This window comes from Homo sapiens, chromosome 1, assembly GCF_000001405.40.
Source record: "Homo sapiens chromosome 1, GRCh38.p14 Primary Assembly".
NCBI classification, from domain to species: Eukaryota; Metazoa; Chordata; class Mammalia; order Primates; family Hominidae; genus Homo; species Homo sapiens.
The window spans coordinates 15,782,293-15,809,079 of record NC_000001.11 but is presented as its reverse complement, the minus strand read 5'-3'; the positions used below and the strand labels follow the sequence as shown (position 1 = coordinate 15,809,079).

Sequence of the window (26,787 nt, the reverse complement as noted above, 5' to 3'; positions counted from 1 at the left end):
ATGTTTGCAGGGGATCCTTGCTGATGATGTTGGCCTCCTCCTGCACCCTCCCACTCCATGGCTGTCTCACCTGAGAGAGCTTTCTTCCTTTTGCATTAAGTGTGAGTCCTGATAAATTCAAAAAAGCCTCCAGGTGACATCATTTTAACACCAGTTAACAATCACAAATCTGGGTGAATGAGCCTCAGAGTTTTTCTTGACAGTAGTGTGCGTGCGTGTGTGTGTGCGTGTTTTCCATGGAAAAATAAAATGTATTACACAAACTATCAGTATTAATTACAGAAAGGTGGCCAGGTGCAGTGCCTCACGCCTGTAATCCTGGCACTTTGGGAGGCCAAGGCGGGCAGATTGCCTGAGCTCAGGAGTTTGAGACCAGCCTGGTCAAACATGGTGAAACCCTGTATCTACTAAAAATACAAAACATTAGCTGGGCGTGGTGGCGCATGCCTGTAGTCTCAGGTACTCGGAAGGGTGAGGCACAAGAATCGCTTGAGTCTGGAAGGTGGAGGTTGCAGTGAGCCGAGAACACGCCACTAAACTCCAGCCGGGGTGACAGAGCAAGACTCTGTCTCAAAAAACAAACAAACAATTAATTACAGAAAGGTAAGCCTGGCCAATAGGTCAGGAAAAGCAGCCCCACTGCAGATCCACACCACTACGGAAACTTGAGGCACCACACACATGACTTTGCTGACTGGGGGCAAAGGATGAACTAGTGAGCAAACTTGGGAGGCTGAGACAGGAGGATCGCTTGAACCTGGGAGGTAGAGGTTGCAGTGAGCCAAGATCGCACCACTGCTCTCCAGCCAGGTGACAGAGCGAGACTCCAGCTCAAAAAAAAAAAAAAAGTCAAGATATTAAATATGAAAGCAACACTTTATTTTTTATTTTATTTTATTTTAAGACAGGGTCTCTCTCTGTCACCCAGACTGGAGTACAGTGACATGATCTCTGCTCACTGTGATCTCTGCCTCCCAGGCTCAAACTATCCTCCCACATCAGCCTCCCAAATAGCTGGGACTACAGGGGCCCACCACCACACCTGACTAATTTTTGTATTTTTGGTAGAGATGCGGTTTCACCATGTTGCCCAGCCTGATCTTGAACTTCTGGATTCAAGTGATCCGCCCTCCTCGGCCTCCCAAAGTGCTGGGACTACAGGCTTGAGCCACCTCGCCCAGCTGAAAGTGACACTTTAATACTTTCAGGAAATTATAGGAGATGATTGTTAAGAGCTCAGGATAAAGAGAAGTTTCTGGCCGGGAACGGTGGCTCACACCTGTAATCCCAGCACTTTCAGTGGCGGAGCACCTGTGGCCAAGAGTTTGAGACCAGCCTGGCCAACATGGTGAAACCCCATCTCTACTAAAAATACAAAAATTGAGGTGCCGCTGTTGCTGCTCGTGTTAAATCTAGAACCGTAGCCAGACATGGGACTGGAGGACGAGCAAAAGATGCTTACCGAATCCGGAGATCCTGAGGAGGAGGAAGAGGAAGAGGAGGAATTAGTGGATCCCCTAACAACAGTGAGAGAGCAATGCGAGCAGTTGGAGAAATGTGTAAAGGCCCGGGAGCGGCTAGAGCTCTATGATGAGCATGTATCCTCTCGATCACATACAGAAGAGGATTGCACGGAGGAGCTCTTTGACTTCTTGCATGCAAAGGACCATTGCGTGGCCCACAAACTCTTTAACAACTTGAAATAAATGTGTGGACTTAATTCACCCCAGCCTTCATCATCTGGGCATCAGAATATTTCCTTATGGTTTCGGATGTACCATTTGTTTCTTATTTGTGTAACTGTAAGTTCACATGAACCTCGTGGGTTTTGGCTTAGGCTGGTAGCTTCTATGTAATTCGCAGTGATTCCATCTAAATAAAAGTTCTGTGATCTGCAAAAAAAAAAAAAAATTAGCCGGGTGTGGTGGTACATGCCTGTAATCACAGCTACGTGGGAGGCTGAGGCAGGAGAATCCCTTGACGCCAGGAGGTGGAGGTTGCAGTGAGCTGAGATTATGCCACTGCACTCCAGTCTGGGTGACATAGCAATACTCTGTCTCAAAAAAAATTTTTTTTTTCTTTTTTTAAACAATTTACTTATTCATTTTTAATTTTTTCTGAGATGAAGTCTTGCTATGTTGCCCAGGCTGGTCTCAAACTCCTGGGCTCAGATGATCCGCCTGCCTTAGCCTCTCAAAGTGTTGGGATTATGGGTACGAGCCACAAACAGACAAGAGAAGTTTCTTTTTTTTTTTATGAGATGGAGTCTCACTCTGTCACCCAGGCTGGAGTGCAGTGGCGTCTCCTCGGCTCACTGCAACCTCTGCCTGCTGCGTTCAAGTGATTCTCCTGCCTCAGCCTCCCGAGTAGCCGAGACTACAGGCGCCCGCCACCTTGCCCTGCTAATTTTTGTATTTTTAGTAAAGACGGGGTTTCACCATGTTGGCCAGGCTGGTCTCCAACTCCTGACCTCAGGTGACCCGCCTGCCTCAACCTCCCAAATGCTGGGATTACAGGCATGAACCACCTCGCCCAACCGAAGAGAAGTTTCTTAAGATAAAAGGAAATGCAGGCCGGGCTTGATGGCTCATGCCTGTAATCCCAGCACTTTGGGAGTCTAAGGCAGGAGGATCACCTGAGCAACATGAAACCCTGTCTCTACCAAAAATACAAAAAATTAGCTGGGTGCGGTGGCATGTGCCTGTGATCCCAGCTACCCAGGAGGGTGAGGTGGGAGGATCGATTGAGCAGAAATCTCGCTACTGCACTCCAACCTGGGTGACAGAATGAGACCCCGCCTCAATAAATAAATAAATAAATAAAGACCATAAAGGAAAAAAATTGATACATTACCTCCATCAAAATAAATCAAAAGCCATCTTAAAACAGAATCTCAGGCTGGGCACGGTGGCTCATGCCTGTAATCTCAGCACTTTGGGAGTCCGAGGCGGGCAGATCACGAGGTCAGGAGATCGAGACCATCCTGGCTAACACGGTGAAACCCCGTCTCTACTAAAAATACAAAAAATTAGCCGGGTGTGGTGGTGGGTGCCTGTAGTCCCAGCTACTCGGGAGGTTGAGGCAAGAGAATGGCGTGAACGCAGGAGGCGGAGCTTGCAGTGAGCTGAGATTGTGCCACTGCACTCCAGCCTGGGCAACAGAGAGCAAAAAAAAAAAAAAAAGAAAAGAAAAAAGAGGCTCTCAACTCTGGCCGCAGGAGCATCACCTTAAGGGAGTTTTTTTTTGTTGTTGTTTTTGTTTTTTTTTTTGAGACGGAGTTTCGCTCTTGTTGCCCAGGCTGGAGTGTAATGGTGTGATCTTGGCTCACCAAAACCTCCGCCTCCCAGGTTCAAGTGATTCTCCTGCCTCAGCCTCCCAAGTAGCTGGGACTATAGGCATGCACCACCATGCCCGGCTGATTTTGTATTTTTTTTTTAGTAGAGACGGGGTTTCTCCAGGTAGGTCAGGCTGGTCTCGAACTCTTGACCTCAGGTGATCCGCCCACCTCAGCCTCCCAAAGTGCTGGGATTATAGGTGTGAGCTACCACGCCTGTACCCAACTAACTTCTTGTATTTTTTGTAAAGACAGGGTTTCACCATGTTGCCCACGCTGTTCTTAAACTCCTGATCTCAAGCAGTCCACTTATGTTGGCCTCCCAAAGTGCTGGGATTACAGGTGTGAGCCACCACACTGGCATTATGAGCCACCACACTGGCATTATTCTTTAAAAAATATATTATGACCAGGCACTGTGCATAACAAAACAAAGCAAATGCATGTACATACTAAAAAATGGTAGCTGCTGCCACCACACCTGGCCCTTTTTAATTAAGAAAAAAACTTGGCCAGGCGCGGTAGCTCACATCTGCAATTCCAGCACTTTGGGAGGCCGAGGTGAGCGGATCACAAGGTCAGGAGATCGAGACCATCCTGACCAACATGGTGAAACCCCGTCTCTACTAAAAATACAAAAAATTAGCTGGGCGTGGTGGTGTGTGCCTGTAGTCCCAGCTACTCGGGAGGCTGAGGCAGGAAAATCGCTTGAAACCACCGGAAGGCAGAGGTTGCAGTGAGCTGAGATCGCATCACTGCACTCCAGCCTGGGCAACAAGAATGAAACTCCGTCTCAAAAAAAAAAAAAAAGAAAAAACTTTTTCAGTCAGGACCTCACTATGTTCCCCAGGCTGCTGGTCTCGAACTCCTGGCCTCAAACAGTTCTCCCAAAGAACTAATGGTGTGAACCACCACACCTGGCCTCAAACTTTTAAAAAACACAAATGGGGCTGGGTGCGGTGACTCATGCCTGAAATCCCAGCAATTTGGGAGGCCAAGGTGGGCAGATCATTTGAGGTTGGGAGTTTGAGACCAGCCTGGCCAACATGGCAAAACTCCATCTCTACTAAAAATACAAAAATTAGCCAGGTGTGGTGGCACACGCCTGTAATCCTGGCTACTCTGGAGGCTGAGGCAGGAGAATCACTTGAACCTGGGAGGTAGAAGTTGCAGTGAGCCGAGATCACACCACTGCACTCCAGCCTGGGTGACAGAGCAAGACTTCTAAAAAAAAAAAAGCCTGCATACCATTCTGTCACTTGCTTTTTTACTTACTACCTCAAAATGTTGAGGTTCATTCATCCAACAAATATTTAGTTAGCCCTTAAATATGTGCTCAGCAGCTAGGGACCCAGCAGTGCCCTTGCCTTCAAAGGATTTTCATTGCAGTAGAGGGGACACACGATAGACAACAAGCAAGTAGTAATGAAAGACAAGAGGGAGATGACAGGTGACAGACAAGTTAATAGGGCCCAGGCTCAGTGGCTCACGCCTGTTATCCCAACACAATGGGAGGCCGAGGCGGGTGGGTCACCTGAGGTCAGGAGTTCAAGATCAGCCTGGCCAATACCCCATCTCTACTAAAAGTACAAAAATTAGCCAGGCGTAGTGGCGCTTGCCTGTGGTCCCAGCTACTCGGGAGGCTGAGGCAGGAGAATTGATTAGACCCAGGAGGCGGTGAGGTTGCAGTGAGCCGAGATCGAGCCACTGCACTCCAGCCTGGGTGACAGAGTGAGACTTCATCTCAAAAAAAAAAGGAAAAGTTAATAGGAAGGCAGCCTATATGGTCTGGTGTCGTCTTTTAGCAATTCCGTGAAGTACAATGGAGTTTCCAGGTTTTCTCTGTGACAAAGGGATGCTGCTTTGTCACTTTTTTTTCTTTCGAGGCAGGGTCTTACCCTGTAGCCCAGACTGGAGAGCAGTGATGCGATCACAGCTCACTGCAGCCTCGAACTCTTAGGCTCAGGGGATCCTCCCACCTACTGAGTAGCTGAGACCACAGGTACATGCCACTGTACCTGGCTAATTTTTGTTTTTTGTAGAGACAGAGTCTCACTGATGTTGCCTAGGCTGGTCTGGAACTCCTGGGCTCAAATAATCCTCCCGCCTTGGTCACCCAAAATGTTGGGATTACAGGCGTGAGCCACGGTGCCCAGCTGAGCCTTGATATTTAAATAGTGGTCTGGGGACCAGCAACACTGACATCTGCTGGGAGGTTGTTAGAATTGTAGAATTTCAGGTCCCACCTCAGACCTATTGATTATTTCCATATTAACAAGATTCACAGGTGATTTGTATGCACATTTCAGTTTGAGAAGGACTGGTTTAGAATGGAAGATAAAAAATGGCAGATAAGGCTGGGCACGGTGGCTCATGCCTGTAATCCTAGCACTTTGGGAGGCCAAGGCGGGAGGATCACAAGGTCAGGAGTTCAAGACCAGCCTGGCCAACATGGAGAAACCCCATCTCTACTAAAAAAAAAGAAAAAAAGAAAAAATTAGCCGGGCGCAGTGGTGGAAGCGTGTAATCCCAGCTACTTGGGAGGCTGAGGCAGGAAAATTGCTGGAACCCAGGAGGCAGAGGTTGCAGTGAGCCGAGATCGTGCCAATGCACTCCAACCTAGGCAACAAGAGCAAGACTCCGTCTCAAAAAAAAAAAAAGACAGATAAGGTGTTAAATACCTTCAGTTCAATTAGGGATTGATGAGAGATGGTGTGACCTAAAACATTGTTCTGGGTTGAATTTGGCCTTGTTGCCTGGACTGTCAATATTGTGGTGTTTATCCTCTTAGGGAAGAGAACTCCAAAGACCAGGTCATCTCCTTAATTTGCTTCTCTCACCAGGTGTGGGAATCCAGATTGCCCCAAAATCTTGAGCTGTTAAGGCTGGGAAGAGCCTGAGATGCCATCAGTTCAGCTCAATCCCTAGCTGCTGCCCTGCTCACTTCTGCCAACCCCCGTCTCACAGGCGAGGCTCTGGGAAGGGCAGTGGTTTGCTCAAACCACAAATCAGCCCAGGGCTGGCCACAGTCCTGGGTCCCAGCCAGTAGTTATCTTTTCTCTAAGTTTTGGTCCATTATTTTTCTATCTCATGGATTTATCCTAACTTTTTAGAAAAATGAATTTTAAAAACATATATGGGTTCATATTAGAAAAGTATCATTGTAGCAGGATGAGCCTCAGACAAGAACCCCTCAGAAACCGAGTTGTAGAAGGAAAGGGCTTTATTCAGCTGGGAGCATCGGTGGATTCACGTCTCCAAAAGCCGAGCTCCCCGAGTGAGCAATTCCTGTCCCTTTTAAGGGCTTACAACTCTAAGGCGGTCCGCGTGAGAGGGTCGTGATCGATTGAGTAAGCAGAGGGTACGTGACTGGGGGCTGCATGCACTGGTAATCAGAACGGAAAGGAAGAGGACAGGGATTTTCACGACGCTTTTCCATACAATGTCTGAAATCTATAGATAACAGAAGAGTTAGGTCGGGGTTGATTTTTAACTCCAGGCCCAGGGTGCAGTGCTGGGCTATCTGCCTGTGGATTCCATTTCTGCCTTTTAGTTTTTACTACTTCTTTCTTTGGATTCAGAAATTGGGCATAAGACAATATGAGGGGTGGTCTCCTCCCTTATCATGTGCTTACTGTAAAAAAATCAGAGTTGGGCACAGTGGCTCACACCTGTAATCCCAGCACTTTGGGAGGCTGAGGCGGGAGAATCACTTGAGCCCAGGAGTGCAAGACCAGCCTGAGCAACACAGTGAGTCCCTATCTCTACAGAAAAAAAAAGAAAAATCAAAAGTTATCCAGGCAAGATGGTGTGCGCCTATGGTCCAGCCTACTCAAGAGGCTGAGGCTGGAGGATGGCTTGAGCCCAGAAGGTCAAGGCTGCAGTGAGCCATGATCGCACCATTGCACTCCAGCCTGTGTGACAGAACGAGACCCTGTCTCAAAAAAAAGAAAGCTTTAAAAGGGTGAATTTTGTATGTGTGATTCATATCTCAGTAAAGCTGTTATTAAAAAAAATAAATAAATAAAAGCAGGCCGCCGGGCATAGTGGCTCACACCTGTAATCCCAGCACTTTGGGAGGCTGAGGTGGGCAGATTACCTGAGGTCAGGAGTTTGAGACCAACCTGGCCAACATGATGAAGCCCCGTATTTACTAAAAATACAAAAATTAGTGGGAATAGTGGTGGGTGCCTGTAATCACAGCTACTCAGGAGGCTGAGGCAGGAGAATCGCTTGAACCTGGGAGGCAGAAGTTGCAGTGGGCCAAGATTGCCCCACTGCACTCCAGCCTGGGCAATAGAGTGAGACTCCATCTCAGAAAAAAAAAAAAAAAAGCTAGAGAGAAGAAAGTAAAATATCCTTTGAGTCACCCAACCCCAGACTGCAAGTAGCCACTCATTCATTCCACAAATACTCTCTGAGGGCCTGTTCTATGCAGGCTATGTGCCAAGGGTTTACACCCTAGGAGCAGTGCCACCCCAGTATCTGTCCCCCGTGACCAGTGACTGCCCCTCCTCTATAATATCTATTGACTGACCTCTCTGACCTCACCTCATTTCTTTCCTCCAGTGCCCCGGCTCCAGCAGTCCATGGATCCTGCCCCCTTTGCATGTCCCTCAGCCTGCCTGCCCTCCGTGTCCTTCCTGCCCAGCCTACAATTCATGGTCAGGCCCCACCCCCACCCCCTCCTGCGGTCCTGACAAAACCCCAACACTGGTCAGTCCCACTGCTCCACCTCCACCGCATCTCACCTGCACTTGCGCAGCTCAATGTCACACCACCTTGCCAGCTGCTTCCCTTTCAACTCATGACACAAAACCCAAGAGGGCCCTTAGTGGATGTCAGGATCAGTCACTGTCCCCATGACCCTTGCACCCCTCTTTTCTCCTCTCTATAAAATAAGGGTGATAATATTTCTGTCTCCCGGGGCTGTTGGCAGCATCAGTAGTAGGTCCTTGCTCGGGGGCAGCTACTGGGGTTAGTTCCTCTGGTGCTCAGTCCAAGAGTTCCCTGGTGTCTTGGTGTCCGCGGAGTCCCACCCTGCGGTCATTTATTTTGTTCCGCTGGTTGGGCAGGCCTGGGCTCTCTGCCAGATCTGATCATCCTCCCAGAGACAGGAGGGAACGGAATGTGGCACCAGGCAGTAAGACGCATGGCTGAGCTCAGCAGGAGAGGGAAGCTTCCAACTTCCTGCAGCGAATGTCCTAGGTGATAGGTCAAGTCTGACCCCGCCAGTGAGGCCAACATGGAAACTTACTAGGGCCTCGAAAAGGTGTGTGTGGGAGTTCAGAGAGGAGTGGAGACAGCCGGCCTCCCAATCTGGACCCACAGGGCAGGGCAGGGAGAGGAGATGGCCCCGCCTCCAGGAATCCAGGCTGCACCTCCCTCCAGGGAACTCAGATCAAAGCCAGGAGGAAGGAGGAGTGTGAACTTTGCACCCAGTGACTCACTGCATCCCCCTAGGGCAAGTGCTCTCACCCGTGCAGAATCCTGCCCTCCTTGCCACTGACGGGACCATCCGCACTGGGTCAGCCTATGAGCAACACTGACCTGATTCACCTGCACGCCTTCATTCCCCCACCTTCATCCTCCTCCTCGCAGAGGTGATCAGATGTTTGCAGGTGCCTGCCTGTGTTTACAAGTAGGTCTTGGAAGATAAGAGAGGCGGTGGGAGGGGTGGGAAAGCCCTGTTCTGGCAGTCAGGACACCCAGGGCTTGGCCACTAACCAGCTGTGTGAGCTCGGCCGGTCTCACACCCTCTCTGGGCCCGGCCACCACCTCTGTGGTTATGGGCAGTTGGACTCTATGGCAAGTTCATCTGCCCTACCGGCTTGGGGTTCTACCGGCTTGGGGTTCTACTGGCTTGGGGTTCTTCCTTCTCACCGTTGCCCCCCTGGGAAAAAGCCCCAATCCTGGCACAGAGTCTAGGAAGCCTTGCTGCTTTGGTTCCTGCCTGAGTCTGGCCCTCATCCTGCACTTCCCACATGCTCAGCCACATTCAGCTGTGCCCAGCTCAGAGAGCAAGCGCCTGGATAGCTCTTGTTCCAGAGCCTCGCCTGGCTGACCCCTGCACACCCTTTAGGCCCAGCTCTGACATCACTTTCTCCATGGCCTGCCCTCCTGGACTCCTGGCTGTGCCTCCCCAGCACGGACTGTTCTCTTTTCTCCTTTTTCCATTAAACTGAGCTCTGTGCCAAGGGCAGTGACTGGCAGATGGGAGGGGTCAATGAGTATTTTATTAAAGAGTGAGTGAATGAATGAACAAATGAATGAATGAAGCGGGATCTCTAGGCACACTGGAGTGGAGCCACTGTTTGCTTTCTGCCCGTGGGACTTGATTTGAAGCCATCTCAGGGTGGGCCATTGGGAGTTCTACCTTGCCAAGGAGGGGTTGCTGGTCAGAGGGGTGCTGGAAGCGGGGGGGTTGCTGGGGGAAAGGGTGCAGATTTGCAAGGGAGGTTCTGGCTGAGCTCCCTGCATGCCACAGCCCGTCTGAGCAGTCTTGGGAAACCCCAAGCTGCCAGGCCCATGACTCACAGGCCCCAGAGAGCATTCTTAACCCTCCCTGACCCCCCATGTGCCTTCTGATTGGGCCCTCAGGGTGACCCCTCATGGGTTTCTCTCCTGCTTCAGCCAGCCCCTCCCTGTGGTCTGAAGTTTGGGATCCTGCTAACTGTAAAGGACCAGTTCAGGATTCCTGGGTCGTATTGTGTTTTTTGTTTGTTTGTTTGTTTTTGAGATGGAGTTTTGCTCTTGTTGCCCAGGCTGGAGTGCAGTGGCATGATCTCAGCTCACTGCAACCTCCACCTCCTGGTTTCAAGCGATTTTCCTGCCTCAGCCTCCCGAGTAGCTGGGATTACAGGCATGAGCCACCATGCCCGGCTAATTTTGTATTTTTAGTAGAGACGGGATTTCTCCATGTTGGTCAGGCTGGTCTCGAACTCCTGACCTCAGGTGATCTGCCCGCCTCGGCCTCCCAAAGTGCTGGGATTACAGGCATGAGCCACCACGGCAGGCCATAATTTTTTTTTTTTTTTTTTTTTTTGGAGACGGAGTTTCGCTTTTGTTGCACAGGCTGTAGTGCAATGGCGCAATCTCGGCTCACTGCAACCTCCGCCTCCTGGGTTCAAGCGATTCTCCTGCCTCAGCCTCCCGACTAGCTGGGATTACAGGCATGTGCCACCACCCCGGCTAATTTTGTATTTTTAGTAGAGATGGGGTTTCTCCACGTTGGTCAGGCTGGTCTTGAACTCCCAACCTCAGGTGATCCGCCTGCCTCGGCCTCCTAAAGTGCTGGGATTACAGGCATGAGCCACCGCTCCTGGCCTAATTTTTTGTATTTTTAGTAGAGATGGGGTTTTACCATGTTGGCCAGGCTGGTCTCAAACTCCAGACCTTAGGTGATCCACCTGCCTCGGCCTCCCAAGGTGCTGGGATTACAGGCGTGAGCCACCGTGCCCGGCCCGTATTGTGTTTTCCTGAGGAATCCTTGCGTGTTTATGGATTCCTCAGGAATCCATAACCCAGAGAGGGTGTGAGACCGGCCGAGCTCACACAGCTGGTTAGTGGCCAAGCCCTGGGTGTCCTGACTGCCAGAACAGGGCTTTCCCACCCCTCCCACTGCCTCTCTTATCTTCCAAGACCTACTTGTAAACACAAGCAGGCACCTGCAAACATCTGATCACCTCTGCGAGGAGGAGGATGAAGGTGGGAAGGAAAAAAATTACCACTCACACTGGGTGAAGGTCACTCTGATCTTCTGAGACCCCTCACCATCCTCTTCCTACTTGGCACTTGTCTCCCACATGCTATAGATATTGGGTCAGGTCCCCCACTCCTCTTCTCTTGCCATCTTCTCAGTCAGTAGGCCCCTCCCCCTTGTCCAGACATGACTACCCTCTCAGCCCGACTTTCCTGTTGGCAGAAGAGTGTGTGATGGCCTCCTCTCACCCCCTTGTTCTTACGTCATCAGTGAGAGGCAGGGCATCCAGGAGCTCAGGCTCAAAGACTTTCCCCTTTATCCCGTTAGTTTGTTAGATAAGAAACTTTTGATTTCAAAATAACTTTAGATTTATTGAGGCTGGGCATGGAGGCTCACGCCTGTAATCCCAGCATTTTGGGAGGCCGAGGTGGGCAGATCACGAGGTCAGGAGATCGAGACCATCCTGACCAACATGGTGAAACCCAGTCTCTACTAAAATACAAAAAATTAGCCAGGCGTGGTGGTGTGTGCCTGTAGTCCCAGCTACTTGGGAGGCTGAGGCAGGGGAATTGCTTGAACCTGGGAGGCAGAGGTTGCAGTGAGCCAAGATCGCTCTACTGCACTCCAGCCTGGTGACAGAGCAAGACTCCGTCTTAAAAAAAAAAAAAAAAAACAGCCGGGTGCGGTGGCTCACGCCTGTAATCCCAGCACTTTGGGAGGCCGAGGCAGGCAGTTCACGAGGTCAGGAGATCGAGACCTTCCTGGCTAACACGGTGAAACCTCATCTCTTCTAAAAATACAAAACATTAGCCGGGCGTCGTGGCGGGCACCTGTAGTCCCAGCTACTCAGGAGGCTGAGGCAGGAGAATGGCGTGAACCCGGGAGTCAGAGCTTGCAGTGAGCCAAGATCGCGCCACTGCACTCCAACCTGGGTGACAGAGCGAGACACTGTCTCAGAAAAAAAAAAAAAAAAATCTCACGCAACTATGGCACATTTGTCCAAACTAGGAAACTGACATTGGTACAACATGACTCACCAAACTCCAGACTTTACTGGGATTTCACCAGATTTTCCACTAATGTCCTTTCTTCCTTTCCAGAATCCATCCCAGGAAACCACATGACATTTGGTCATCTGCCATTGCATTCCTTTACGTGTATGATCAAGGTAATAATTCTCTTTGTTTTGTAGGTGAGGAAAAAAGCAATTCAGTGGCCAAGGGATTGCCCTGTCTCATCTAGGAGGCTAAGGCAGTGGAATAAAGGGTTTAGGACTTGGCTAAATATAGAGCTGGAATCTATGTGGTGTGACCTTGAGCCTTCGTCTCCCTGTGTGAACGATGGGATCATAGATCATTCCTTCCTTCCAGGCAGCAGTGGGAACTAAATGAGATAATACATATGGGCATATGCATGCCCACGAAATGGTAGCTGCTGCTGTTGTTATTACTGTCAGTATCCTCATCAAGGAGTCTCGATCCCAGGCAGGCTGCCTAACTCCTGAAACCTAGCTTCCTGTTCAGCGTAGTCAATCATCCCACCTCTCCAGCCTCACCCCAGACAAGACAGACAAGAGCTCAGGAAATAAATGTCAGTTTTTGACACCCTTCCTCACCCTCAAAACTTAAAGACATTGTGTCTCAAGGTCAAATAGCTGGCTAGGAGCTTAACCAGAGAGAGAGTCTAGTTTTTTTTTTGTTTTTTGTTTTTTGTTTTTTTTTGTAGAGATGGGGTCTCACTCTATTGCCCAGGCTGAAATAGAACTCCTGGGCTCAAGTGATCCTCCTGCCTCGGCTCCCAAATTGCTGGGATTATAGACATGAGCCACTTCACCCAGCCCGAGAATCTAGGTCTTGCTAAGACCTTATCCCATCCACTGGGCAGAACCCCTCCCTCCTGTCTTCCTCCTCCCCTCCCCTCCCTTCCCATTCAGAGACCACTCTGGGGAACAGAGGCCACCGGCCAGCTGCTCTTAATTCCACCTCATGGGATGCCCTGCAAGGGACCCCACCACCTCCTCTGGCCTAAAGGAGCTGTCATAAACACCTGATGAAGGAAGCGTTGCAAGGTCATTTTCATTTTCAAAAGAAGGTAAAATCATGACTCCCACACAGATAGAAAATGAATAGGTATTAGCCATTTTATTTAACTCATAAGGGAGCCAGGTGATGTTATAACCAGCTCAAAAGGGCAGCTAAGGGCCGGGCACAGTGGCTCACGCCTGTAATCCCAGCACTTTGGGAGGCCGAGGCAGGTGGATTGCCTGAGGTCAGGAGTTCAAGACCAGTCTGGCCAACATGGTGAAACCCCGTCTCTACTAAAAATACAAAAATTAGCTGGGCATCATGGCATATGCCTGTAATCCCAGCTACTTGGGAGGCTGAGGCAGGAGAATCGCTTAAACCCAGGAGGCGGAGCTTGCAGTGAGCTGAGATCATGCCACTGTGCTCTGCTCCAGTCTGGGTGACAGAGCGAGACTCTGTCTCAAAAAAAAAAGGGGGGACAGCTAAGAACAGTCACATTCATAGGTCAGGAATATTGAAATGAATGTGCAAATGAAAACTGGTTTTTCAACAAGAAAGCGAGGGAGAACCTCTACTAGACAGGGCAATATATCATTTACCTATAATTTACAGAGCTGTAAAGTCGCTCAAAGACAATAAAAGGCTAGAATCTGATAACCAGGAAGGGTGTGCTGGGTGTAGATAGTGCATTATTTTCCACTGAATCACATACATTTTTTTCTGCAGAAGGAAGGTTATGAGCAGGGTACACTCCAGAGTCTCTCTAATCTGATGCTCACTCTCTGAGAATTAGTATGAGTCATACAGGATACAAGGACCTTTCTGGATGGATTGGGAAAATTATATGTCACTTACAAGCAAGAGGCCTGCAGTCTAAACTCCCCCTCTTAAGATGCAGGTCTTGGCCTGGCGTGGTGGATCACACATGTAATTCTAGCACTTTGGGAGGCCAAAGCAGGAGGATCACTTGAGCTCAGAAGTTCAAGAGCAGCCTGGGCAACATAGAGAGACCTCATCTCTAAAAAAAAAAAAAAAAAAAAAAAAGATGCAGGTCTTAGCTGGGCACGGTGGCTCACTCCTGTAATCCCAGCACTTGGGAGGCCGAGGCAGGAGGATTGCTTGAGGCCAAGAGTTCCAAATCAGCCTAAGCAGCATGGTAAAACCCCATCTTTACAAAAAATTTAAAAAATTAGTCAGGTGTGGTGGTGCATGCTTGGGGTCCCAGCTACTTGGGAGGCTGAGGTAGGAGGACTGCTTGAGCCCAGGACATCATCAAAGCTGCAGTGAGCTGTATTTGCACCACTGTACTCCAGCCTGGGCAACAGAGTGAGACTGTGTCTCAAAAAAAAAAAAGATGCAGAGATGCAGAGCTCCAGACATTAAAGGTTTTTTCAGTTGGACATTGGCACCTGTGTTACACGATGGGTTCTGAAACATTCTAGAATATGGATTTCTGAAGTGGGTCTGTAGTGGAGGACTATAGAATTTTCACTGGACCTGCTTTGATCCTGTCTCTGCTGTGCGGCCTTGTGCAGTTATACCAGCTCTCTGATGTGCAGCTTCCTCCTCTTTGGCAATGTCAAAATTGCTACTTCATAGATTATTTTGTTACATAAACTGTACATTAAAGTGAGGAGAACATTTTTTGGAAAATGTTCTCAGTCCCTGCAATTCTTCCTCATCAGCTCAGCCTCCTCCCCTCTCCCCATCCCCCCATTCAATTCCCGGTTCCCACCATTTGTCTCTCTAGCAGGGTAGGGAGGGGCTTGGGTTGCCCTGGAGGGGCTGGCCTGTGGCCTGTGCTGGGTGAAGTTCACACCTGGGTGTGCCCTCGGGAAAGGGGCCTCTGGGGACAGGGTGACCATCAGAAAGGCTCAGGGCTCCCAGTGCACCATGCTGTCCTTTGTCCCAGCTCTGATTCTGTGCTTACTGTGCCCAGGTTCCCAGGTATGGAATTGCAGGGTAGCAGCATGGGGACTTCCAGGTGGGCCCCTCCTAGCAGGTGGGGGTTTGAGCCAATGAAGAATTCAGTCTGCTGACACAGGTCTCCCTCCAAAAGGGCGTGTCTCTAGGACAGAGGCAGCAATTCCACAGCCATATCACTCACTTTCTAGTTTTTTGTTTTGTTTTGTTTTGGAGAGAGGGTCTCGCTCTGTGGCCCAGGCTGGAGGGCAGTGGCGTGGTGCGATCTCAGCTTACTTCAACCTCTGCATCCCAGGCTCAGGTGAATCTCCCAACTCAGTTTCCCAAGTAGCTGGGACCACAGGTGCTCACCACCACGCCCGCCTAATTTTTCTTTTTTTCTTTTTTTTTTTTTTTGAGACGGAGTTTCGCTCTCGTTGCCCAGGCTGGAGTGCAATGGCGTGATCTCGGCTCACCACAACCTCCGCCTCCCAGGTTCAAGCAATTCTCCTGCCTCAGCCTCCCGAGTAGCTGGGATTACAGGCATGCACCATCACGCCCAGCTAATTTTGTATTTTTATAGTAGAGACGGGGTTTCTCCATGTTGAGGCTGGTCATGAACTCCTGACATCAGGTGATCCACCCGCCTCGGCCTCCCAAAGTGCTGGGATTACAGGCATGAGCCACTGCGCCTGGCCCTGCCTAATTTTTCTATTTTTAGTAGAGATGGAGTTTCTCCACATTGCCCAGGCTGGACACTCTTTCTTTTTCTTTTTTTTCCACCAGTTGTCAAGTGATCCTTTATTGAAATATTTTCCTTTCTGCTTCTTAACTGGCTGGGCATTCCACAGCACCACTGTTGATGTCATCTATGATGTCATGAGGGTAGCGGCCATCAACATTACAGCCCACAGACTGGGCAGTCCCCAGGATCTCTTTAATGGTTCCAGAGAGTTCCCTGGCTAAAGATCGGTGCCACGTGTGTCAAGCAATGTTGACGATCTCATCAAAAGTGATATTCCCACTGTGTTTAATGTTTTTCTGTTTCTTTCTGTCTCTTAGTGGTTCCCTGAGGGCTTTGATGATCAGGGCAGAGGCAGAAGGCACCACCTCAATCTGGGCCTGTCTGTTCTGAATGGTCAGTTTCACTGTAATCCTCAGGCCCTTCCGGTAACCCGTTGCCTTGGCAATGTTATCACCAACCTTTTTTGGAGACAGACCCAGGGGGCCGATCTTGGGGGCCAGCGCAGAAGCAGCGACTTCACCTCCAGTGCACCTCAGGTATACAACTTTGATCTCTCTGGGGTCAAACTTCACGGCATGGTGGAGGTGGCTGGTGTGGGATGAACCCGGATTCGGGACAACCGAAGAAAGTTGCACCTTGGTCTCCTTCTCTTTTTTTTTTTTTTTTTTTTTTTTTTTTTTTTTTTTTTTGAGACAGAGTCTTTCTCTGAGAGAGAGTCTAGCTCTATCGCCCAGGCTGGAGTGCAGTGGCATGATCTTGGCTCACTGCAACCTCCGCCTTCCGGGTTCAAGCGATTCTCCTGTCTCAGTCTCCTGAATAGCTGGGACTACAGGCACACGCCACCATGCCCGGCTAATTTTTGTATTTTTAGTAGAGACGAGGGTCTCACCATATTGGTCAGGCTGATCTCGAACTCCTGACCTCAGGTGATCCACCGGCCTCTGCCTCCCAAAGTGCTGGGATTACAGGCGTGAGCCACCGTGCCTGGCCCAGGCTGGACACTTTCTAGTTTTGCAATCTGTTCTCTCCTCTCAGCCTCACTGCCACCCTGCGTGGTGCGTGGGCCGGAATGACCCTTCCCCTCTTGCAGTTTGGAGAAGTTGAGGACCCGTGTGAACCCTGAAATCATTCATGCCCGGGCTCCCCGTTCGCCAGCCCATGCTGCCCTCTAGTGGTTGTGTGCGCACCTGCCTTTAGGGAGTCCAGGACAGCCGGGACAACCAGCTCATCTGCAGACAGCAGTGGCCAGCCTTCCCAGGCTGCGCAGGGGACCCTAGGCAGGGACCGTCCCCCTCAGGACCCTTCCAGCACTGCATGCCTTCACCAGCTCCTCTTCCTGTCTCGCAGCATCTGGTTTAGATGCATAGATAGATGTATTATATACGTATATTTTAATTGTGCTAAAATACATGTAAAATTTACCATCGCAACTAACTGTACGGTTTCATGGCATTAAGTACCTTCACACTGTTGGGCAACCATCACCACCATACATCTCCAGAACTATTTTTTTTTTTAAGACAAAGTCTTACTGTGTCACCCAGGCTGGAAGCGCAGTGGTGCAATCTTGGCTCACGACAACCTCTGCCTCCTGTGTTCAAGTGATTCTCCCACGTCAGCCTCCCAAGTAGCTGGAACTACAGGTGCCCGCCACTCCACCTGGCTAATATTTTATTTTATTTTATTTTTGAGACAGACTCTCTCTCTGTCGCCCAGGCTGGAGTGCAGTGGCGCGATCTCGGCTCACTGCAAGCTCCGCCTCCTGGGTTCAGACCATTCTCCTGCGTCAGCCTCCCGAGTAGCTGGGACTACAGGCGCCTGCCACCACACCCGGCTAATTTTTTGTATTTTTAGTGGAGACAGGGTTTCACCCTATTAGCCAGGATGGTCTCAATCTCCTGACCTCGTGATCCGCCCGCCTCGGCTTCCCAAAGAGCTGGGATTACAGGCGTGAGCCACCGCGCCCGGCCCCTACCTGGCTAATTTTTGTATTTTTAGAGAGACAAGGTTTCACCATGTTGGCCAGGCTGGTCTCGAACTCTGGCCAGCTTTTTTTTTTTTTTTTTTTTGACAGGGTCTCACTCTGTCACCCAGGCTGGAGTGCGACTTCGACCTCCCAGGCTCAGATGACCCTCTTACCTTAACCCCTAGAGTAGCTGGAACTACAAGCGCATGCCACCATGCCTGGCTAATTTTTTGTAGAGACAGGGTTTTGCCATGTTGCCCAGGCTGGTCTTGAATTCCTGGGCCCCAGCGATTCGCCTGCCTTGACCTCCCAAAGTGCTGGGGTTACAGGCGTGAGCCACTGCGCCCAGCCTCCAGAACGCTATTCTCCTTCCCAAACTGAAACTCTGCCCCCATTAAACACTAAGCTCCTCATTCCTATTTCCCCCCAGTTCCTGGAAACCTCTGTTCTACATTGTCTTTATGAATCTGACTAGATACTCATATAAGTGGAATCATACAGTGTCTGTCCTTTTGTGTCTGCCTATTTCACTGAGCACAATGTTGTCAAGGTGTATTCACATTGTGGCATGTGTCAGAATGCCATCCTTTTTTTTTGTTTGTTTTTTTGAGATGGAGTCTCACTTTGTTGCCCAGGCTGGAGTGCAGTGGCACGATCTCAGCTCATCACAACCTCTGCCTCCTGGGTTCAAATGATTCTTCTTCCTCAGCCTCCCCAGTAGTTGGGACTACAGGTGTGTGCCACTATGCCTGGCTAATTTTTGTATTTTTAGTAGAGACGGGGTTTTACCATGTTGGCCAGGCTGATCTTGAACTCCTGATCTCGTGATCCGCCTGCCTCAGCCTCCCAAAGTGCTGGGATTACAGGTGTGAGCCACCACGTGTGGCCTTTTTTTTTTTTTTTTTAGACGGAGATCTCGCTCTGTCACCCAGGCTGGAGTGTAATGGCACGATCTCGGCTCACTGCAACCTCCGCCTCCTGGGTTCAAGCGATTCTCCTGCCACAGCCTCCTGAGTAGCTGGGATTACAGGCGTGCACTACCACAGCTGGCTAATGGCTAATTTTTGTATTTTTAGTACAGATGGGATTTCACCATTTTGGCCAGGCTGGTCTCGAACTCCTGACCTCAAGTGATCCACCTGCCTCAGCCTCCCAAAGTGCTGGGATTACAGATGTGAGCCACCGCACCCAGGCTGCCATCCTTTTTAAGGTTGAAGAATCTTCCATTGTCTGGAGAGACCACATCTTGTCATCCGTTCTTCTGTTCATGGACACTTGGTTCCTTCCCCCTTTTGGCTATTGTGAGTAATGCTGATATGAACATGGGTGCACAAATATCTCTTTGAATCTAGAGAATATATTTTATCTTTGCCAGTAAGTGTACCCAAAGGGAAGGGAAATCATCTTTGCCTGGGGTGTTCTGATTGTGCCTACATGTGGCAGGCGCCCTCCAAGTGAGAGCAGAGAAAAGGATGAAAAGAGGAATGAAAAGAAGAATGAAGGTTGGTTGGGAGGGTTGGGGTGGGGGAGGTGAATACACACTATTGAGTGCTCCCTAGAAGCATCCCCTTATGGAATGGAATGATTTTTACATGGGCAGCCCGAAAAGCAGAGGCATCTCCTAGAATTTCATCCAGGTAACACCCCTCCAAATACACTCAAACAGAAGCATGCTAGGACATGAGGAATTACAACAAGGCTATATATACACACACACACACACACACACACACACACACACATATGCATATATATACACATATACATACATATATACATATATGGACATGTATATACACACATATACATATATATACGCACACACACATATATATGGTTTTTTTGTTGTTTGTTTATATGGTTTTTTTGTTGTTTTGTTTTGTTTTTTGAGACGGAGTTTTGCTCTTGTTGCCCAGGCTGGAGTGCAATGCCGTGATCTCGGCTAACCACAACCTCCGCCTCCCAGGTTCAAGCGATTCTCCTGCCTCAGCCTCCCGAGTAGCTGGGATTACAGGCATGCGCCACCACACCTGGCTAATTTTGTATTTTTTGTAGAGACAGGGTTTCTCCACATTGGTCAGGCTGGTCTCAAACTCCCAACCTCAGATGATCCGCCCTCCTTGGCCTTCCAAAGTGCTGGGTATATAGGCATGAGCCACCACGTCTGGCCTAAGAAGGTTAAAGTCAAAAGCAACACCACTCAGCAGCTGTCCTGAACACGCATCTCAGGGCCACCCACACAAATGAGAATGTCTCCTGCAGCTGCTGCTGCGTCGCCCCCAATCACAGCTGTAGATATAAAGGGATCGAGTCACTGAACCATACAATCACCCCGCTTTCTGACAGCACACATCCAGAGCAAACCCACACTTCCTTAAATCTTTCTCCAAATCCGATACCAGCACTAACACTGCTTTTGGAGATGCCCTGGCTTCCCCGTGCTGTGTGGCCTCCCTTGCCACAGCAAGCATAATAAACCCAAATTTGTTGACTGCAGGCGTGTTCCTGGTGGTCTGATTGACAGGCATCAACGTGACCATGGAGGGAGTGACGGCTAGAGAATTTCAGGGTTCACAAGATGAAGCCAGTGACTCATGAACTAAGCTGAAATCTCTCAGCCTAATACTTCCCTTTCTCTCACAGCAACTCTCCATGATAGATTAGAACTGTTCCAACTTGGCTGGGCATGGTGACTCACGCCTGTAATCCCAGCTATTTGGGAGGCCAAGGTGGGAGGATTGCTTGAGCCCAGGAGTTTGAGACCAGCCTGAGCAACATAGTGGGACTCCATCTCTATTTATTTATTTATTTATTTTGAGATGGAGTTTTGCTCTTGTTGCCCAGGCTAGAGTGCAATGGCGCGATCTCAGCTCACTGCAACCTCCACCTCCCAAGTACAAGGGATTCTCCTGTCCCAGCCTATCAAGTAGCTCATATTACAGGCATGTGCCACCAGGCCCGGCTAACTTTTTTGTATTTAGTAGAGATGGGGTTTCATCATGTTAGTCAGGCTGGTCACGAACTCCTGACCTCAGGCTATCTACCCGCCTTGGCCTCCCAAAGTGCTGGGATTACAGGCATGTGCCACCGTGCCTGGCCTCTTTTTTTTTTTTTTTTGAGACGGAGTCTCGCTCTGTCACCAGGCTGGAATGCTATGGCGCAATCTCGGCTCACTGCAACCTCCGCCTCTCAGGTTTAAGCAATTCTCTTGCCTCAGCCTCCTGAGTACCTGGGATTACAGGTGCGCACCAACACACCCAGCTAATTTTTTTGTATTTTTAATAGAGTCGGGGTTTCACCATGTTGGCCAGGATGGTCTTGATCTCTTGACCTCGTGATCTGCCTGCCTTGGCCTCCCAAAGTGTTAAAATTACAGGCATGAGCCACCACGCCCGGCCTCTATTTTTATAATACATTTTATATATATATATATATATATATATTTTTTTTTTTTTTTTTTTTTTTTTTTTGAGATGGAGTCTTACTCTATCACCTAGGCTGGAGTGCAGTGGCGCAATCTCAGCTCACTGCAGGCTCTGCCGCCCAGGTTCAACCGATTCTCCTATCTCAGCCTCCCAAGTAGCTGGGATAACAGGCGCCTGCCACATCGCCTGGCTAATTTTTGTATTTTTAGTAGAGATGGGGTTTCACCATGTTGACCAGGCTGGTCTTGAACTCCTGACCTTGTGATCTGCCTGCCTCGGCCTCCCAAAGTGCTGGGATTACAGGTGTGAGCCATCGCGCTCAGCCAATAAATAAAATGTTTTAAACTGCTCCAGATGAGAACATCAAGGCTGAGGGTTACTAACTTGTCCACGCTATTGAGTACAGAGATAGGTCTGAGATCTGGGTGGCCTGTCACCAAGCCAGTGCTCTTTCAGGCCAACTCTTTCTGGGCCTGTGCTCACCAAGTGAGCCCAGGGGTCAGTGTGCAAGCTTGAAAAGGGAGAGCAGCCTAGTTATGTGCAGGGAGCACGCCCTGGGGGTGTTTTTTTTTTATTTTTGAGACAGGGTATCATTCTGTCACCCAGGCTGGAGCGCAGTGACACAATCACGGCTCACTGCAGCCTCGACCTCCTGGGCTCAGGTGATCCTCTTACCTCAGCCTCCCAGGTAGCTGGGACTATAGGTGCACACCACCGTGCCCAGCTCATTTTTCATAGAGACGGGGTTTCGCCATGTTGACACGGCTGGTCTCAAACTCCTGAGCTCAAGCCATCCACCCACCTCGGCCTCCCAAAGTGCTGGCACTGCACCCAGCCTGACTGTTGATTCTTATTTTTTTGAATCAGTCTATCACCCAGGCTGGAGTGCGGTGTTGTGATCTCAGCTCACTGCAACCTCTGCCTCCCAGGTTCGAGATTCTCCTACCTCAGCCTCACGAGTAGCTGGGCCTAGAGGCAAGCACCACCATGCCCAGCTAATTTTTGTATTTTTAGTAGAGGCGGTGTTTCACCATGTTGGCCAGGCTGGTCTGAAACTCCTGGCCTCAAGTGACCCGCCCACCTCAGCTTCCCAAAGTGCTGGGATCACAGGCATGGGCCACCACGCCCGGCATGAGTGTTAATTCTTAAAGCATTTGGCAGCCCTACTGAGGCTCCTGCAGCCAACCCCATCAGTGGTGGCCTGTGTCCAGGAGAAGCACACCCAGTGAGTTGGCCGGCCCCAGTGCTGGGCATGAGGCAGGAAATGAGCCCCTCCATCTGCTGAGCTGAGCCCCAGCACTCTTCGGACACTCCCGCCACAGCGAGCAGATGCCCAGGGCTACTACCAAACGCCAGCGTTTACCTGTGTGAGAGCCTACACACAACATGGAAGAGCTTCTAACACTTATGCATTTATTTTCATGTGTAAGAAGAAAAACGTAACTAGCACGTGAACATGACTGCATGGATACACGGCTCAGCACGAGGCTAAAGTCAGAAGTGAGTGAAAACAAAATAGCATGTTGATTTAAGTGAAATAACAGAACAGGAGGCCTTTGGTTATAACAATTGTGGAGGTGGTCTGTGAATGCAGAAGTTCGGGACTCCCTGCTCTAGGCTCAGGGCAAGACGCTGTGGTCTGGGCCGAAGCCCCTGGGGTTCTACAGAGAAGCCTGCCCAGTGCACGGCCCCTGTGGCATTCTCGTGGGAGCGTGTGAGACCCCAGGGAGGGAAGCACATTCTGTTTAACTTGTCCGTGCCGTACAAAATGTCTTAGAAGTGATAAAGCAACAATGATGATTCTCCTTCAAAGGGAAGAAGAATCTTCCAGGTGTGGTCTTGAGGACGCAGAGGTTACAACACAGGCTGGGCTGCAGGGCCCAAGTAGGACTTGAGGTCATAACCAGAGGACTGAAGGGACACCTGTCCTGGCACCATACTGGAGAAGTGCTTGTTTGTGTTTGGGGGAGAGGGGGTGCATGGCCCAAGTCAAGGCTGAAGGAGGAACGCTTGGCCCCTGCACCCTGTTCCCAGCATATACCAGGCTCTCACCCCATGCCTGCTGACTCAACACAGCACCCGGGAGGTGCCGCCAGAAGGCAGGTCGGGGGATGCTGACATCCCGGGGTGTCTGCGGACCACCCTCTCCTCTTGGGTCTGGGCCCTGGCCCCACTTTGCACCACACATTCCAGGGCGGGGAAGTCCATGGCTGTGCCCCAACTGGGTCCCATTCCTGTACATGTGCGAACCAAGGGGGTGTTTGCTATTATGCTCCCCACTAAATCCAAAGAATGTTGGTTCCCATCATTTCAACCTCAACATTTTCAAAAAGCACTTTTTTTTTTGGAGACAGAGTCTCGCTGTGTCTCCCAGGCTGGAGTGCAGTGGTGCCATCTCAGCTCACTGCAACCTCTGCCTCCCGGGTTCAAGCAATGCTCCTGCCTCAGCCTCCTGAGTAGCTGGGATTACAGGCGCACGCCACCACACCCAGCTAATTTTTGTATTTTTAGTAGAAACGGGGTTTTGCCGTGTTGGCCAGGCTGGTCTCAAACTCCTGACCTCAAGTGATCTGCCTGCCTTGGCCTCCCAAAGTGCTGGGATTACAGGCATGAGCCACCACATCCGGCCTAAAAGGCACTTTTTTTTTTTTGAGACGGAGTTTCCCTCTTGTTGCCCAGGCTGGAATGCAATGGTGCAATCTCACTGCAACCTCTGCCTTCCAGATTGAAGCAATTCTCCTGCCTCAGCTTTCCCCAGTAGCTGGGATTACAGGCACCTGCTACCATGCCTGGCTAATTTTTGTATTTTTAGTAGAGACAGGGTTTCACCATGTTGGCCAGGCTGGTCTTGAACTCCTGACCTCAGGTGATCCACCCACCTTGGCCTCCCAAAGTGCTGGGATTACAAGCGTGAGCCACCATGCCCAGCCTCTAAAAGGCACTTTTTAAGGGACCTTGGAGTTTGTCCTCAAACAGCTCAACCCCACAGGCGAGGCTGGTCCTAGCACCCCTACCAGACAGCTAGTCAGTGAGAGGGGTCCAACCTCCCCCAGCTTTTCCCTGGAAGTGGGGCAGGGTCAGCAGGGAATTCTGGGGGTGAAGCTCATGGTCCAGGAGCCTTCTGGTGCCCAGAGGGTAGAGGAGTGGAAGGCCTGGGGGTGCTCAGCCCCACTGTATCCTGGACAGGCTGGGCCGGCTTGCAGGCTGGTCTCCATGGAGGCTCAGAAGGAAAGTGTGCAAGAGCAGGTTAGGAAGGGAAACCAAGTCAGGGAAGGGCCCCAGCCGGGGCTAGTGGTCTGTTCACTGCCCAGCGGGCACTCTCAGCAGCACCCCGCAGCACTCCGCTTCACATGGCATGGCTTGCAGAAGAGATGGTTGTTCAGGGGGTAGCAGCCTTGGTCCGTGGGCTCGACAGACAGGAGGATCCTGCAGTCCTGGGGAGACAAAGACACATGCTGACCCGCCCTGGGCCTGGGCGCTGCCTGCACAGGGGAGGGACTCACTTGGCATCTGCCGAATAAACCAACTGCATGAGTGGATGCCCTTCCTAAGTGGGAGGAAGGAGGCTGCTCACTGCTGCCCTCCCAACACCCGGGCCAGGTCTCCATAAGGGAAGATGAGACACAGACACACATGGAGGCTTTAATCCACGTGGAGGCGCCGGTGAGGACAGACATTCACCGTCAGGAGAACTAAGGACACCTGGGGAAGTCCCCTGAGGGTTCAGGGAAAGTTGGGGCTAGAAGAGTCTTAATAGCTCCTTTATTATTTTTTAAAATTTGTTTTTATCATTTATTTATTTTGAGACAGTCTTGCTCTGTCGCCCAGGCTGGAGTGCAGTGGCACGATCTTGGCTCACTGCAACCTCTGCTTCCCGGGTTCAAGCGATTCTCCTGCCTCCCAGGTAGCTGGGATTACAGGCGTGTGCCACCACACCCAGCTAATTTTTGTATTTTTAGTAGACAGGGTTTTGCCATGTTGGTCAGGCTGGTCTCGATCTCCTGACCTCAAGTGATCCGCCCACCTTGGCTTCCCATGCTGGGATTACAGGTGTGAGCCAGTGCGCCCGGCTTCAATAACCCCTTTAGAACATAAATTCTGGGCGGGCGCGGTGGTTCACGCCTATAATCCCAGCACTTTGGGAGGCTGAGGCGGGCGGATCACAGGGTCAGGAGATAGAGACCATCCTGGCTAACACGGTGAAACCCCATCTCTACTAAAAATACAAAAAACTAGCCGGGCGTGGTGGCGGGCGCCTGTACTCCCAGCTATGTGGGAGGCTGAGGCAGGAGGCAGGAGAATGGCGTGAACCCGGGAGGCAGAGCTTGCAGTGAGCCGAGATCGTGCCACTACACTCCAGCCCGGGTGACAGAGCGAGACTCCATCTCAAAAAAAAAAAAAAAAAAAAAAAAGAACGTAAGTTCTACGAGACAGGAACCCTGTTTAAGGCCAAGTCCCCATCCCAGCACAGGCCATGGGTATCTGCTGATGAGTGCCTGAATCTAGTCCAGTCCCTTCATTTCACAGGTGGGATACCAAGGTCCAGGGAGGAGTGGGCTCTGCCCCAGGTCACACAGCTGGTTCTGGAGCTGGGACCAGACTGGGTCTCCAGGATCTGGCTCCAGGGGCCTTTCTGTGACTCCACAGCCCACACAGCTTCAACACCAGCACAAACATTAATATTTTCTATTTTTCAAATCACCAAAGGATTTCAGAATGAGGAACACAGGGACTCGGGGCCCAAATTCTACCAACGTCACTGTTCTGCCCCAGAAACCTCACCTGGGCACATGCTAGAGAATAACAGGGGGGACAATTTGCGCGCAGAGACTTGGTTCTGGGCACCCTTTGGAAGCTGCACTGATCCCACAAAAGAGTCCTTATAGGGGGCCAGGCGCAGTGGCTCACGCCTGTAAGCCCAGCACTTTGGGAGGCTGAGGCGGGCGGATCATGAGGTCAGGAGTTTGCGACCAGCCTGGCCAACATGGTGAAACCCCGTCTCTACTAAAAATATAAAAATTAGCCGGGCGTGGTGGTGGGTGCCTGTAATCCCAGCTACTCATGAGGCTGAGACAGAATTGTTTGAACCCGGGAGGAGGTTGCTGAGATCGCGCCACTGCACTCCAGCCTGGGAGACAGGGCAAGACTCCGTCTCAAAAAAAAAAAAAAAAGAGTCCCTATAGGGACTACTTTGGGGTCACAGGTGGCCCTCCTTATGCAGTAGGGACCAGGGTCTGCAATCTGCCTTCCTCCATGGCCAGCTGGGTGAGGCACCCCTGTGTGTCTCCTCCCTACAAGGCCACTTGAGTCTCTCAAGTAGACCATGGGCTATACAACTGCACCATCTGTGCCACCTGTTTGGCACTGTAAGAACACATGCCAGAGGGCCACATGAGACCCCTCCTAAATTAGAACCAATTGGAAGAAACACCTTATCTACCACCAAGTCTCACAACCTCTGCAAGGCAGCTGTGCGGTGGCTGAAACCTCACTGAACCCAGCCCACACAAGCATGGCTGGAACCACTTTTCTGAGACTGTTTGCCTGTTTCCCATCCTTTTTTTTTTTTTTTTTAAGATAGAGTCTCACTCTGTCACCCAGGCTAGAGTGCAGTGGCATTATCATGGCTCACTGCAGCCTCCACCTGTCAGGCTCAAGCAATCCTCCTGCCTCAGCCTCCAGAGTAGCT

At 50.5% G+C, this 26,787-nt stretch overlaps 2 protein-coding genes and 1 pseudogene across 24 annotated transcripts in view, besides 5 other annotated features; 1 reads left to right on the top strand and 2 right to left on the bottom strand.

The window, feature by feature from the left end:
- Positions 1–1,430: 1,430 nt before the first annotated feature.
- Positions 1,431–1,706, top strand: UQCRHL (ubiquinol-cytochrome c reductase hinge protein like). The gene has a single exon (NM_001089591.2). The coding sequence runs from the start codon at positions 1,431–1,433 to the stop codon at positions 1,704–1,706; it is 276 nt and encodes a 91-aa protein (NP_001083060.1).
- Positions 4,885–5,386: an enhancer, noted in NCBI's record as "H3K27ac hESC enhancer chr1:16130189-16130690 (GRCh37/hg19 assembly coordinates)". NCBI's record gives its function as "activates a minimal SCP1, AML or CMV promoter by ChIP-STARR-seq in primed H9 embryonic stem cells {active_cell/tissue: H9 hESC(primed)}" and the evidence as "EXISTENCE:reporter gene assay evidence [ECO:0000049][PMID:30033119]".
- Positions 8,552–8,846: an enhancer, noted in NCBI's record as "tiled region #12316; HepG2 Activating DNase unmatched - State 1:Tss". NCBI's record gives its function as "activates a minimal TATA promoter and a strong SV40 promoter by Sharpr-MPRA in HepG2 cells {active_cell/tissue: HepG2}" and the evidence as "EXISTENCE:reporter gene assay evidence [ECO:0000049][PMID:27701403]".
- On the bottom strand, positions 15,741–16,353 carry RPL12P14 (ribosomal protein L12 pseudogene 14; annotated as a pseudogene).
- Positions 16,803–17,303: an enhancer, noted in NCBI's record as "H3K4me1 hESC enhancer chr1:16118272-16118772 (GRCh37/hg19 assembly coordinates)". NCBI's record gives its function as "activates a minimal SCP1, AML or CMV promoter by ChIP-STARR-seq in naive H9 embryonic stem cells {active_cell/tissue: H9 hESC(naive)}" and the evidence as "EXISTENCE:reporter gene assay evidence [ECO:0000049][PMID:30033119]".
- Positions 21,160–21,924: an enhancer, noted in NCBI's record as "H3K27ac-H3K4me1 hESC enhancer chr1:16113651-16114415 (GRCh37/hg19 assembly coordinates)". NCBI's record gives its function as "activates a minimal SCP1, AML or CMV promoter by ChIP-STARR-seq in naive H9 embryonic stem cells {active_cell/tissue: H9 hESC(naive)}" and the evidence as "EXISTENCE:reporter gene assay evidence [ECO:0000049][PMID:30033119]".
- Positions 21,925–22,689: an enhancer, noted in NCBI's record as "H3K27ac-H3K4me1 hESC enhancer chr1:16112886-16113650 (GRCh37/hg19 assembly coordinates)". NCBI's record gives its function as "activates a minimal SCP1, AML or CMV promoter by ChIP-STARR-seq in naive H9 embryonic stem cells {active_cell/tissue: H9 hESC(naive)}" and the evidence as "EXISTENCE:reporter gene assay evidence [ECO:0000049][PMID:30033119]".
- Positions 22,491–26,787, bottom strand: part of FBLIM1 (filamin binding LIM protein 1) — a 29,952-nt gene continuing 25,655 nt past the window's right edge. For all 23 annotated transcript variants that reach the window (XM_047423104.1, XM_011541617.3, XM_047423129.1 and 20 more), the window contains one exon: positions 22,491–24,532. In XM_047423104.1, coding sequence (XP_047279060.1) covers positions 24,419–24,532 — 114 coding nt within the window. In that variant the 3' untranslated portion in view covers positions 22,491–24,418. The remainder of the gene's footprint in view (positions 24,533–26,787) is intronic.